The 16,057-nt window shown below is 36.3% G+C and overlaps 1 long non-coding RNA gene across 1 annotated transcript; it reads right to left on the reverse strand.

The window, feature by feature from the left end:
* Positions 1-82: 82 nt before the first annotated feature.
* LINC02534 (long intergenic non-protein coding RNA 2534) lies at positions 83-10,376 on the reverse strand. Its single transcript, NR_134602.1, has 4 exons — positions 10,346-10,376; positions 2,763-2,805; positions 681-888; positions 83-313 (listed from the first exon to the last, which is right to left on the reverse strand). It is a non-coding gene; the product is annotated as a long intergenic non-protein coding RNA 2534 (long non-coding RNA).
* Between the last annotated feature and the right edge of the window lie 5,681 nt (positions 10,377-16,057).

Consider the following 16,057-nt stretch of genomic DNA (forward strand, 5'->3'; position numbering starts at 1 on the left):
TGGAATCCAGGGGACCATTTATGACATATAGTCTCCAGTGAGGGAGGCTTATCTAAAAGAAGTGAAGTCAGGTACCCAGGAGTAGTCAAAACAAATTCTTTACTCTTAAAATGATTGTTTCTTCTAAACAGGACATGACCCCTTACTTGAGTTTATTCCCCAACTTGTACTGCCTCAAGAAGAGTACTGCAGTACTCAATTAAACTGCTTGCTGGACAACAGAGGAAATGGTTTCCAGTGGATTGCAGGCCACTGGAAGAAATAGTAAGACACAACTTCATAGCTGTTTTAGACCTTGGCAGCAGAAATAAACCTGGAGCAGAGGAGAAGAGAAATGTGTAAGCCTCATAAAACTAATTTGTGAGTACATATGTGGCATTTCCTAAGAACTCTGAAAAAAGGTGGGAGGCTCTATAGGAATTGAAAATGACACCAAAATGCTGCTTTTCAAAGTTAATGAAGTAAGATAATATTAATGTGTTTAGAACAAGCACAAGTTGTCAGCATAAATGGAGCTTAAAAAAGAGAGATTTTCCCATTCATCCCCTTTTTGCCTTCTAATGATCTGCTTATATAATTCCAACATGACTGGTTAAAACTATTTTCAAATAAGTCAAATTATTAATTACTTTTGATATATGCAACCCAGAATAGAGAGTTTTCCAACTATTAAATCTTACCCCAACATAGATTTGAGGGAGATTGAAACATCTTCCTTCCCAAAAATATTTTGGCCTGGTCTTGTCAGTAGCTGGAATTCTTAAGCCTATCCACAAATATTAACTGCTGCATCCTTTAGTTGCAAGGGCCTGCATGGTCTGGTCATTCTTATCTTATTACAAACCCCACTGGGCTAAGGTATTGAAGACCTGTGTTAAAATGCAAAAGCTACCAGGAAGAGATAAGACATTAAGCAATTACATGCGATTAGAACCTTAACTCATCAGATTAGTCTCAATCGCTTAGAAAGACCCTTGAGAGAACCAAGCATGGGTAAATAACAAATGAATTTTGATGGGGTAGTAAATGGATAATATATATCTAAGAAAACAAATAGGAATGAAGCACTTCATCTCTGAGAAATGAAGTTTATAGAATTGGCAGAAAATATACTTCTATGTCATTGATCTTTCTGTTTTTGCCCTATTTCTACCTATATTTAACCAGAAATTCTAGTAACATCTTTCTTATTTTCTAACATACATATTTTATCTATATTTACCCAGAAATTCCAGGAACTTCTTTCTTATTTTCTAACATACATATGCACACATGTATGCCCACAGTTAGGCCAGAGTATGCTATTGAAACATTTCATTTTAAGAAACGCAGAAACTGGAGGTCAATTCAACTTAGAGTTTTTCTAGTTGTAATATAATAGCTATCATTTACTGAATGCTTAGAATGTAATGGACTTTGTGATAAATGGTTTAAGTGAAAGAGCCAGAATTTTTCCATTTATCTGTCTGACTTTAAGGCAGGAGGATTTTTTAAAACTTATGCAATTTTTATAGTTGGGAAAAAAAAAACAAGAATCAGAAAATCTGAAAGCCTTTGCAGGCTGCATTCCTGCCAGAACCAAGTAATAGCACTTTACTTAGAAAGGCAAACATTCTCCTGTTTGCCACACTTAGCTGGCTGCCTTCATTTAGGTCACTTGCTTCCACTAGAGGCAGAAACATGTCAATTTCCATAATATCCAGTCCTGCTATACTGCCTCATATTAACTTATGACACAAAACTTATGATTCTATGTTAATTTAAAATACCATAAGCTTACAAATGAATAGCACTAAAAAGTATTCAAAAGTATTATCAGATGATAAACAAAATGACTCTAGTCTATTATTATAACTTCTTGGGAAGTAAAACCTATATAAGGGTAGTAAAGTTATTCTCAAGTATTAGTACTAAAGGTTTTTTTAAAAGAAGCATAAAAAACAGAAAAGTTATATCAAGGTAAATAATTTTACCACCCAGTATCATTTCATAGACATTAGTAGTCTACAAAATTGCATCAAGTTTTATAAAGCCATCAGAATGAAGAGATTTAATTCTTCACAACATATTGCTGCCCACTTATAAATTTTTGTGATATCCAGAATTACTAAAGTTCATTTTAAAATATGCATATTTTAAAATTGCATATATGTTAAAATTTAGAAACAAAATATTATATGTCCAATACATATAATATGTTAAACTGATAACATTTTGGTATACAACAAGAGCAAAATCATTAAGTCATACCATTAGAAAAACAGAAATTCTAATCAGAAGTACACAGAGTAATACAGCAGTCAAATTCCAGTTCTTAGGGGTGATTATTTGCTAACAATAAATGATAGTACTGTGTGTGTCAATAGTCATTGAGACGGGTTACACAGCATGAAAACAGCTGTTAAGTCAGTTCAATAAGAGATAAAAATCAAACCAACTAGCTATCTGGCATCAGTTATTCAAATTAATCTATTGATTAAATTTATTCACTGTTTCTAACATTTGCTTTGGTATATTGTAGTAAAAGTATAATTTCCTCAGTGGGATCTGGCTGAAGCTTCTCCCCATCATAAGCATGAGCCCAAAAACCAACATAAAATTTATCAGAGAAGAAATGACCAAAGAAGTTACTGGCAGTTTCCTCAAAGACCAATTAATATTTAGTAAAGAAGTAATGAATTTTACTTGAGACTGCTCTAGCAAACATATCATTCATTCATCCATCTGCTCATGTATTTATATAAAAATTATTGAGCACTTACTATGCTCCATTTCTGTGGTCCTCTCCCTCTTGGAGTTTATAGTCTGATGGAGAAAATAATATTAACCAAAGAATTAAAACATGAATCAAACTTTTATAAGCACCAAGAAACAAAATGACACTGATAATGTACATAGGAGATCCCATTTATACTGGGAATTCTGAGAAGCTTACATGAGGAAATTACATTTGAGACCAAGTCTGATCCATAAGTAGGCTTTCTTGTCCCACTGAGGTTCATTCACACTAATAACTCCAATTTCACTTGCTATAACCCTCACTGGCATAATGGAGATCCTCTAGTCTGTACTACCCTAAAGTTTCACTGAGTCGTTTCTAGAACTCCCAGTAGTGTCTCAACTGAGTTATCCCTGAAGTCCTGTTTTCTGCTCTGACAAGCTGCACTGACACCCTTGCCAGAGGAAAAAACCTTGAGAGATGCAACTCCTCAAGCAGATCTTTCTGAGAGAACATTCAATTCTATAAATGTTATGTACCAATTGTTTAGAAATGCAGTCTCAGCCCTACCAGCACATTTCCGTGTACCTGACAACTTATGGATCCTCTAATATGGCCTGTGTCTCTCTGATCTCAGACACAGGTCTAGGGTGCTGGACCAGGGACAGGTGACCATTATCTGAGAAGGTCACATGTGCTGCTTCCACCTTCTCTTTTTTATTCTTCCCACTCCCTCCCAGTTACCCAAAGAAACATCTCTTTTCTCCCTCCGCCTAAAGTATTCTGCTCCCCTAGGCCGGCTTGTCAACAGACAAACCTGGGCAGAGAACTAGCAAATTCAGATACGATACCAACTCAAAGAGAACATAATTTGTCTATTATACTTTAATTAGTTACTAAATGTGAACATCCATTTAACCAACAGTTTCCTTAATTAGATATTGTATTTAACCCACATTTCTCATTTCCATAGGTGACTCAATATTCTTTCCCGCTGGAATTGAGTCTTTTTTAATTTTCTGGCTCACATTTTTGTGTGTGTGTGTGTGTGTGTGTGTGTGTGTGTGTGTGTGTGTTTAACCACCTGTGGCACTGTTGAGAGATAGCCAAGCCCAATGTGCAGGAGTCCACTGATTGATGACTGGTCATTAACCACAAGGGGACCATGAACCACATTTATGTAGAATGGAACAATGTTACAGTACCAAATGTAGTGAACTAATAATGATTTTCTTAAATCTCAAGTTCCCCCCTCCCAAGTGATAGTCTCAAATGAAAAGTTCTTAAAATATGTAAACTTTCAGAATTCTAATATTTGCATCCAAATAAATCTTCTGCATTAATAAAATAACTTTAAATTAGTATTTTATATTACTCTCATCTTTATTTTCACTATTCAACTGAAGACTTGCTGATTTATCTGATTGATAAGAAAGTCTAAGTCATCTAAAGAATATTTTTTAAAGATATTGCTTAATTACTCTGTCCAACAAAAAGATTTTTCCAGAATCCCCCCAGAAAAGATATAAAATAAAGATAAACTGAAGATGCATATTTCTCATCATTAAGAAATTCCTGCATGGCTGATTGCAACTTGAAGTATCATGAAACAATGACAGATGAATCCCACCAAAACTGCATGAAGCTATGAAGTTCCCAGAAATATCAAGTAAAAATGTAATTTTTATCTGAATACTTGAATATTATATTTAAGAAATAAAATAATGGTATTTAAGGTAGATGGTAATAAGCCTGAAGAACATTATATAATGAATGATGGGACTGGCAAGAAACAAAATCATCCATGGTCAGCTTAACTTTTCTGTCTTAACATTTGAAAAAATAAATCCAAGTTCTATTTTCCAAATAAATATTTCCATTAATAAACCTACAGATCTTAATGCCTCTGGTGGGAAAAAAGAGCTATGTGTACTTTTCTGCTAATTAGCTAAGAGTACATAGTATTTCTTGAATTGATATTATGAATTTAAAATTTTTGTTTAATGAATATTTGATTTCTTTCCTTTCCAAACATGGAAAGAGCAGCTTCAAAGAATGTTTTCTGTGTTGCTCAAAATTTAAATCAGTAACAAGAACATATTTACTGTATGACTAAAGAGCGAGATAAGACAGATTATATATTAAAAAATACCAAAAGTGAAAAAAACTTTCTATTTTATTTGACATAAGATGACGCTTGATTTATAAATTTCTAGACACCAATCAATCACTAAACAGTTGGGTTTTGCCTAAAATAAGAAGAACAAATTCTTTTCTAATTTATTTTTGTACAGACACAGCCCATATAAACCTTTTCTTGACCCTATCAAAGAGCTGAGGACTCAGAGCAACCACATAGCTCAAAATCCAAGGAAAACAGACGTCTGCAAGAATAGATAGGACAAAAGCAATGGCTCACTTAAAGCAGTGCCCAGGAGTAAAAGACACAAGTCATCACAGATGTAAATAAAAATAACGCATTTAAAATTTTTAGCAAATTTAGAAAGGCCAAGTAGTGTAAAAGTTTAGAATCCATGGAAACTGCAGATTTAAGAAGAGTTTATACCCATTCTTCAGATGTTTTCCACAGACAGCTAATGGGTACTCATGAGAAGATTAGGGATGAAGCAGGAGACTAGAGAAAGTCCCATTATTTTGTGATTCTGAAGGAGAGAAGCAGCCAGAGCTGCAGGAAAGGAACAAAGTTCTACCCACACCCTTTTCCCTATAGAAAAACAAAAACAACAAAAAGTCCTGAAATCACTTAGGGCAGCAGGGTACAATGAAAACGCATTAAAGTAGAAGGAAGAATAAAAATTTAAAAATATCCCCGAAGAAGGAGCAGAAAATAATCCTGGGTGAAGGATTCTATATCAATATAATCAGGAGTCTCCTATTGCCTCAGAGGGGAAGAAACTCCCACCTAAGAGCTACAAGTAATAAGATTGAATTGGTAATTAAAAGTTTTTCATCAAATAAAAGTCCAGGACCTGATCGCTTTACTACTGAAGTCTACCAAACATTCAAAGAAGAACTAATATCAATTCTTCTCAAACTACTTCAGAAAATTGAAGAGGAAGGAATTCTTCCAAATGCTTTCTATCAGGCCAGCATTATTCTGATACCAAAACCAGATAAAGACACACACAAAAAAGAAAACTACAGACCAATATCCCTGATAAGCATAGACACAAAAATCCTCAAAAAATACTAACAGGCCGGGCGCAATGGCTCATGCCTGTAATCCCAGCACTTTGGAAGGCCGAGACGGGTGGATCACCTGAGGTCAGGAGTTTGAGACCAGCCTGGCCAAAATGGTGAAACCCTGCTACTTGGGAGGCTGAGGCAGAATTGCTTGAACCCAGGAGGCAGAGGTTGCAGTGAGCCGATATTGTGCCGTGACACTCCAGCCTGGGCAAGAAGAGCAAAACTCTGTCAAAAAAAAAAAAAAACCTAACAAAATGAATCCAACAACACATTAAAAAATTACTCCGTGATCAAGTGGGATTCATCTCAGGGATGCAAGAATGGTTCAACCTATGCAAATCAATAAACATAATACCTCACATCAACAGAATCAAGGACAAAAACCATATAATCATTTCAATAGATGCTGATAAAGCATTTGATACAATTCAATAACCCTTCATGATAAAAATGTTCCACAAACTGGGGATAGAAGTAATACAACTCAAAACAATAAAGGCCATATATGACAAACACATAGCTAATATCATATTGAATGGGGAAAAATTGAAAGCCTTTCCACTAAAATCTGAATCAAGACGAGGATGCCTACTTTCACTACTTTTATTCCGTATAGCAATGGAAGTCCTAGAGATAGCAACCAGGCAAGAGAAAAAATTAAGGGTATGCAAATTGGAAAGGAAGAAGTCAAATTATCCTTGTTTACAGACAACATGATATGATATTTAGAAAAACCTGAAGACTCAACAAAAAACTTAGAATTGACACACACATTTGGTAAAGTTGCAGGATACAAAATCAACATATAAAAATCAGTAACATTTGCAAATGCCAACAGAAAACAATCTAAAACAAATTTTAAAAATGACAGTTTCATGTACAAGAGCTATAAAAATTTTTAAAAATAAAATACCTAGGAATAATTTTAGCAAAAAACACAACACACTTAAAAGAATTGAAATGATACAATTTCTCAACACAATGGATTAAACCAGAAATAAATTAGAGAAAGTTGTCCAGGAAAATCTTTAAATATTTGTAAATTATACACCATACTTCCACATAAACTATGAGTCTAGAAAAAAGTTAAAAGAAAATTAAGAATTCATTTTTCATTAAATGAAAATGAAAACACAAGGTATCAAAATTTGTTATAGGCAAATAAAAATCTGCTTACAAAACAATGTATATCATTAAATATTTTAATTATTAAAGAAGGAAGAGTTCAAAAAATTATCTAAGTATCCTCTTGAGGAAACAAAGAATGTAAGAATAAATTAAACCCAAAGCAGGCAGAAATAAGAAAATTCTGAGAGAAAAAAAATTTTTTTAAGATGACTGAAAATAACAATAAAAATGATAAACTTTTAATCAGATGCTTCAGGGTAAAAAATAGAAGACTAAAAAATCAATATTAAAAAGAAAAGAGAAGATTTCATTGATAATTCCTCAAACACTATAAGAATAATAATGGAATACTCTAAAAATTATATGCTTATGAATTCAACAATTTATATAACATTAAACAACTTTAAGAAACAAACTACTAAAGCATGTTCAAAAGGAATAGATAATTTACTCTATAACAATAAAGAATTTGAATTCATAATTGCAAAACTTCTAAGAATAATTTTTGTTAAAATGTCAGCCTATTTCCTAGTGGGCTTACTAGGACATAGCTTACTAGTCATCAAGAATTCAAGTAACATATAATACCAATTTTTAAAAATCATTTCCAGAGAATAGAGGAGAAAGAAATGCATTCCAAGACATTTTACAAGGCCAAGATTACACCGATAACAAAACCATTAAAAGACAACAGAAAACTACAGACTGACATTTTTTATAAACACCGATGAACAATCCTGAGGAAAATATTGGCAAATCAAATTTAGCATCATATGCAAAAGCTAATACATCATGACCAAATAGATTTTATACTTGGAAGGCAGGTTTGGTTCAATAACTGAAAATTAATCAGTGTAATTCACCATATCACAAGAAGAGAAATCATATGATGATTTCAATACACGCATCTCAATGAAAGCCTTTATAAAATTCAATATGTATTAATGTTAAAATAAGCAAACAGAAGAAAATTTCCTCAACCTGACATAAGATATCTACTAAAAGCCTTCATATAATGCCATTCTTAATGACAGACTTAGTATTTTTCTCTGTGATCAGGAACAGGCAAAATGTCCTTTCTTATCACTTCTATTTAACATGTTATTGGAGGTTTTATTCAGTGTAATAAATAAAAACAAAAAAATTAAAGACATACAGTTTTGAAAGAAAGACATATTATCTACATACAGAATCTTAACAATCTACAAAGAAGCTAGTATAACTAGTAAATAAATTTAACAATTTTACTGAAAACAAACTCCATAAACAAATATCCATTGTATTTTTACATGCTAACAATGAACAATGGGAAACTGAAATAAACAGACTATTGAAACAAATAGAGTATTATTTATAACATCAGAAACATTACTGAGATATAAGTGTAATAAAGTACAACTCAAGATTTATATACTAAAAACTACACTTATAAAGGAAATAAAAGAGGACCTAAATAAATTAAAATATATTTTAGGTTGATGGATCAGAAGACTCAATACATTAAGATGTCAATTCCACCCTAATAGATCTGTAGAGTCAATACAGTTACAACAAAAATGTCAGCAAAATTTTTTTGTGGAAATTTGCCATCAAATTCTAATATGGTAGGGTGGGAGGAGTGGGAAAGCAAAGGAACACAATAGCTCAAACAATTTTGAAAAGATAGAACAAAGTTGAAGGACTTATACTGTTCGCAGCAGTCAGCTTGGACTGCCATAATAAAATACTACATATTGGGTGGCATAAGCAACAGGAATTTATTTTCTCCTGGAGGACAGAAGTTCAAGAACAAGGGGCTAGCATGTTTGATGCTTCCTGATGCCTCTCTTCAAGGGGCTAGCATGTTTGCTGTTTCCTGATGCCTCTCTTCTTGGCTTGTAAATAGTCATTTTTAGCGAGCTGTGGCCCCACATTGCTTTTTCTCTGTGTGTGAGCACCTCTGGTGTCTCTTTTTCTTAAGGACACCAGTCTTATAGAATTAGGGCCCTACTTTTATGACTCATTCAACCTTAATTATCTCTTTAAATACCCTTTCTCCTAATAAAGTCACAAGGACTGCTAGAAGAAAATATAGAAGAAAATCTCTGTCACCTTGGGTTAGGCAAAAAGAAATTTAAATATGACACAAAAAGCATAATCTTGAAAAGTAAAAATTGGAAAACTGGACTTCCTCAAAATTAAAATCTCTACTTTTCAAATAAAACTTAAAATAAAAAGACAAGCCACAGATTGGAATAAAATACTTGAAGAACACATATCTGATATGATATAAAAGGTCTTAATGACAAGAAAACAAGCAATCTGATTTTTAAATGAGAAAAAATTGATATTTTAATTGAGGATGATATTTAAATGGCAATTAAGCACATCAAAAAGTGCTCAACATCTGTTGTCATTAATGATATACAAACTAAAACCAAAATAAGATAGCATTACATACCCGTTATTGTGGCTAAGACTACAAAAACTTGACAATAACATGTGCTGACAAGACTAAACAACTGGAACTCTCATATATTGCCAGTTGGGATGCAATATGCTACAATCACTTTGGAAAAGTTTTGACAGTTTCTTTTTTAATTAAATGTACACTTACCATGCAAACCAGTATTTCCACTCAATATTTGTACTAAAGAAAACAAACATATGTTCACAGAAAAACCTGCATACAAATGTTTATTGCAGCTTTATACTTATTATCAAAACCTGGAAGAATGCATACTGGTACATGTAACAACATAGAGGTATGTCAAAAGCATTATGCTAAATGAAAGAAGCCAGACTCAAAAATTACATACTGTGTGATTCTCGAATATGGTATTTTGGATGAGAGAATTTATAAAGAATGAAAAATTGGTGTTTTCCAGGGGCTGCATGTGTTGGGTGTGTGACCAGGGAGGAAGGAGTACAATGGAGCATGCAGAAACTTTTTGAGGTGGTGGAACTATTTTTTATTTTGACTGTTGTGATTACATGTCCACCAAAAACTTAGAGAAAGGCCTGCCTTTGTCAAAACTCATAGAACTATACACCGAAAGGATACATTTTATATATTTAATTTTTTTTCAATAAACTTGACTGGGAAGAATTCCAGAATGAATTTCTTCACCCAGGTCATAACCATAGCTAACATTTAAGTTTACTTTCTTTTATTTCTATATGTGTGTATGCTACTGTGATACACACATACACATGTGCATACATATGTGTGTATATATATGTATCTGCATATATATGTGTGTGTTTCTGTGTGTGGGGGTGTGTGTGCATAAAATATACACACATACATACAGGTTTTGGTCTACAGTTCCTGGCTCATAATTCCCAAAGCCCTTGTTATAGTAAACAGAGTCAATCTCTCTCTCCCTCTGAACTTCTCCTGCTCTCCTTTCAACTGGCCATGGCAGGATTCTAATCTGATTGTGAGTCATAAAACAATCATTTCAGAAAGGGTCCTGCCCCCTACCGTGGAGTAAAGAATGCCGCACAGAGGACAAGAAGAATCTGAACAGACAGGCCTTACTGAGTTTATATCACATCATTTCTGTCCAATCACATTTCAATATGGTTGTCCATGCTTCAATCCTGTCTCTCCAATAAAATCCCTATTAAAAGATCCAAGAGAACAAGGTTTGAAGAGCTTCCAGATAGCTGAACATGTCGAGGTTCCTGGGGGGTGTTGCACCCAGAGAGGACATGAAAGCTCCATGTTCCTTTGTATACGCCTTGCCCTATGCATCTTTTCATCTGTCTTCTTTGTAATATCGCTTATAATAAAATGGTAAATTTGTTTTCATGAGTTCTGTGAGCCACTCCAGCAAATTAATCAAACCCAAAGAGTGGATTGTGGGAACCCCAACTTGAAGCCAGTTGATCAGAAGTTCAGGATGGCCTGGACATGCAAAAGGTGTCTGGAGGAGTGGGCATGGGGGAACTTGGGAAACTGAGTCCCCAAGCTCTGGGACCTGACTCTATCTCCAGGTAATGTTGGAGTTGAATTGGAGAATACTCAGTTGGTGTTCACTACAGAATTAATTGCTCACTTGGTGATGGGGAAAAACCCCTGCCTACATTTGGTCTCAGAAGTCTTCCGTGTTGATAACTGTTGTCTTGAGAGAATAGGCAAAAGCCCTTAGTGTGTTTTACACATAAACAATTATAATGTATGCATATTTTTATCCTGCATTTAATACCTACTGAGAGCATTTCTTATCTTTAACTCATCTTCCAAAATGTAATGTTAAAAAAATTTAGTATTATCAAATCTCATCTTATGGAAAAATAACTAGTGTGCAAAAATGTATTTGTTAATTATTATTAAAAGTTGTAATGTTGGCAGCTGGCAAGATGGCCGAATAGGAATAGCTCCAGTCTGCAGCTCCCAGTGAGATCAACGCAGAAGGTGGGTGATTTCTGCATTTCCAACTGAGGCACCTAGTTCATATCAATGTGACTGGTTAGACAGTGGGTGCAGCCCACGGAGTGCGAGCAGAAGCAGGGTGGGGTGTCGCCTCACCTGGGAAGTGCAAGGGGTCAGGGAACTCCCTCCCCTAGCCAAGGGAAGCCATGAGGGACTGTGCCATGAGGAACCGTGCACTCTGGCCCAGATACTACACTTTTTCCACTGTCTTCACAACCTGCAGACCAGGAGATTCCCTCCGGTGCCTATGCCACCAGGGCCCTGGGTTTCAAGCACAAAACTGGATGGTCATTTGGGCAAACACTGACCTAGCTGCAGGAGTTTCTTTTCATACCCCAGTGGCTCCTGGAACACCAGAGAGACAGAATCCTTTACTCCCCTGGAGAAGGGGCTGAAGTTAGGAAGCCAAGTGGTCTAGCTCAGTGGATTCCAGCCCCACGGAGCCTAGCAAGCTAAGCTCCACTGGCTTGAAATTCTCACTACCGGCACAACAGTCTGAAGTCGACCTGGGATGCTCCAGCTTGGTGGGGGGAGGGGTGTCCACCATTACTGAGGCTTGAGTAGGTGGTTTTCCCCTCACAGCATAAACAAAGCCGCCAAGAAGTTCAAACTGGGCAGAGCCCACCACAGCTTGACAAAACCACTGTAGCCAGACTGCTTCTCTAGATTCCTCCCCTCTGAGCAGAGCATCTCTGAAAGAAAGGCAGCAGCCTCAGTCAGGGGCTTATCGATAAAACTTACATCTCCCTGGGACAGAGCACCTGGGGGAAGGGGCGGCTATGGGTGCAGCTTCAGCAGATTTAAACATTCCTGCCTCCCAGCTCTGTAGGGAGCAGTGGATCTCCAAGCGCAGCACTCAAGCTCTGCTAAGGGACAGACTGCCTCCTCAAGCAGGTCCCTGATCCCCCTACCTCCTGACTGGGAGACACCTCCCAGGAGGGGTCGACAGACACTTCATACAGGAGAGCTCCCACTGGCATCTGGCGGGTGCCCCCTGGGACGAAGCTTCCAGAGGAAGGAACAGGCAGCAATCTTTGCTGTTCTGCAGCCTCTGCTAGTGATAGCCAGGCAAACAGCGTCTGGAATGGACCTCCAGCAAACTCCAACAGACCTGCAGCAGAGGGTCCTGATTGTTAGAGGAAAACTAACAAACAGAAAGGAATGGTATCAACATCAACAAAAAGGACTTCTACACCAAAACCCCAATTGAAAGTCACCAAAATAAAAGACTTTGGTCTTTGAATCTTTGTAGATAAATCCACAAAGATGGGGAGAAACCAGCGCGAAAAGGCTAAAAATTGCAAAAACCAGAACACCTCTTCTCCTCCAAAGGATCACAACTCCTCGCCAGCAAGGGAACAAAACTAGACAGAGAAAGACTCTGAGAAATTGGCAGAAGTTAGGCTTCAGAAGGTGGCTTCAGAAGTTAGTTCTTCAGAAGGAGCATGTTCTAACCCAATGCAAGAAAGCTAAGAACCTTGAAAAAAGGTTAGAGGAATTACTAACTAGAATAACCAGTTTAGAGAAGAACATACATGACTTGATGGAGCTGAAAAACACAGCACAAGAACTTCATGAAGCATACACAAGTATCAATAGCCAAATCCATCAAGCAGAAGAAACGATATCAGAGATTGAAGATCAACTTAATGAAATAAAGTGTGAAGACAAGATTCGAGGAAAAAGAATGAAAAAGAAGCAACCAAGCCTCCAAGAAATATGGGACTATGTGAAAAGACCAAACCTATATTTAATTGGTATACCTGAAAGTGATGGGGAGAATGGAACCAAGCTGGAAAACACCCTTCAGGATATTATCCAGGAGAACTATTGGCCTAGCAAGACAGGCCAATATTCAAATTCGGGAAATACAGAGAACACCACAAAGATAGTCCTCGAGAAGAGCAACCCCAAGACACATAATCATCAGATTCAACGAGGTTGAAATGAAGAAAAAAAATGTTAAGGGCAGCCAGAGAGAAAGGTTGGGTTACCCAAAAAGGGAAGCCCATCAGACTAACAGCAGATCTCTTGGCAGAAACCCTACAAGCCAGAAGAGAATGGGGGCCAATATTCAACATTCTTAAAAAGAAGAATTTTCAACCCAGAATTTCATATCCAGCCAAACTAAGCTTTGCAAGCGAAGGAGAAATAACCTTTCCAGACAAGCAAATGCTGAAGAGATTCTGTCACCACCAGGTCTGCCTTACAAGAGCTCCCAAAGGAAGCACTAAGCATGGAAAGGAACAACCAGTACCAACCACTGCAAAAACATAACCAATCGTAAAGACCATCGACATTATGAAGAAACTGTATCAACTAATGGGCAAATTAACCAGCTAGCATCATAATGACAGGATCAAACTCACACATAACAATGTTAACCTTAAATGTAAACAGGCTAAATGCTCCAATTAAAAGACACAGACTGGCAAATTGGATAAAGAGTCAAGAGCCATCGGTGTGCTGTATTCAGAAGACCCATCTCAAGTGCGAAGACACACATAGGCTCAAAATGAAGGGATGGAGAAATATTTACCAAGCAAATCAAAGAAAAGAAAAGCAGGGGTTGCAATCCTAGTCTCTGATAAAACAGACTTTAAACCAACAAAGATCAAAAGAGACAAAGAAGGGCATTACCAAATAATAATAAATTGATAAAGGGATCAATGCAACAAGGAGCGCTAAATATCCTAAATATATATGCACCCAATACAGGAGAACCCAGATTCATAAAGTAAATTCTTAGAGACCTACAAAGAGACTTAGACTCCCACATAATAATAGTGGGAGACTTTAACACTCCACTGTCAATATTAGGCAGATAGACCAGACAGAAAATTAACAAGGATATTCAGGATTTGAACTCACCTGTGGACCAAGTGGAACTAATAGACATCTACAGAACTGTCCACCCCAAATCAACAGAATATACATTATTCTCAGCACCACATTTCACTTATTCTAAAATTGACCACATCATTGGAAATAAAACACTCCTAAACAAATGCAAAAGAATAGAAATCATAAACAGCCTCTCAGAACACAGTGCAATCAAATTAGAACTCAGGATTAAGAAACTCACTCAAAACTGCACAACTACATGGAAACAGAACAATCTGCTCCTGAACAACTACTGCATAAATAATGAAATTAAGGGAGAAATAAATAAGTTCTGTGAAACCAATGAGAACAAAGACATAACATATCAGTATCTCTGGGACACAGCTAAAGCAGTGTTTAGAGGGAAATTTATAACATTAAATGCCCACAAGAGAAAGCAAGAAAGATGTAAAATAGACACCTCATATCTAACGGAGAAGCAAGAGCAAACCAATTCAAAAGCTAACAGAAGACGAGATAACTAAGATCTGAGCAGAACTGAAGAAGGAACACGAAAAACCCTTCAAAAAATCAATGAATTCAGGAGGTAGTTTTTTTAAAAGATCATAAAAATAGATAGAACACTAGCCAGACTAAAAAAGAAGAAAAGAGAGAAGAATCAGTAGACACAATAAAAGATGATAAAGGGGATATCACCACTGGTCCCACAGAAATACAAACTACCATCAGAGAATACTATAAACACCTCTATGCAAATAAACTAGAAAAACTAGAAGTGGATAAATTCCTGGACACATACACCCTCTCAAGTCTAAACTAAGAAGAAGCCCAATCCCTGAATAGACCAATAACAAGTTCTGAAATTGAGGCAGTAATTAATAGCCTATCAACCAAAAAAAGTCCAGGACCAGACGGATTCATAGCCAAATTCTACCAGAGGTACAAAGAGGAGCTGGTACCATTCCTTCTGAAACTATTCAAAACAATAGAAAAAGAGGGACTCCTCCCTAAGTCATTTTATGTGGCCAGGATAATCTGGATACCAAAACCTGGCAGAGACATAACAAAAAAAGAAAATTTCAAGCCAATATCCCTGATGAAGATCGATGCAAAAATCCTCAATAAAATACTGGCAAACCAAATCCAGCAGCAAATTAAAAAGCTTATCCACCACAATCAAGTCAGCTTCATCCCTGGGATGCAAGGATGGTTAAACATACACAAAGCAATAAATGTTATCCATTATATAAACAGAACCAATGACAAAATGACATGATTATCTCAATAGATGCAGAAAAGGCCTTCAACAAAATTCAACAGCAGTTCATGCTAAAAACTCTCAATAAACTAAGTCTCTCAAAATATTAAGGGCTATTTATAACAAACCCACAGCCAATATCATACTGAATGGGCAAAAACTGGAAGCATTCCCTTTGAAAATGGGCATAAGAAAAGAATGCCCTCTCTCTCCACTCCTGTTCAACATAGCATTGAAAGTTCTGGCCAGAGCAATCCCATCTCTACTAAAAATGCAAAAAAATCAGCCAGCCAAGGTGGTGGGTGCCTGTAGTCTCAGCTAGTTGGGAGGCTGAGGCAGGAGAATGGCATGATCCCGGGCGGCTGAGCTTGCAGTGAGCCGAGATTGTGACACTGCACAGCCTGGGTGACAGAACGAGACTCTGTCTCAAAAACAACAAAAACAAAAGAATGGCGATCATTAAAAAGTCAGGAAACAACAG

The sequence above is a fragment of the Homo sapiens genome, chromosome 6 (assembly GCF_000001405.40).
Source record: "Homo sapiens chromosome 6, GRCh38.p14 Primary Assembly".
Lineage (NCBI taxonomy): Eukaryota > Metazoa > Chordata > Mammalia > Primates > Hominidae > Homo > Homo sapiens.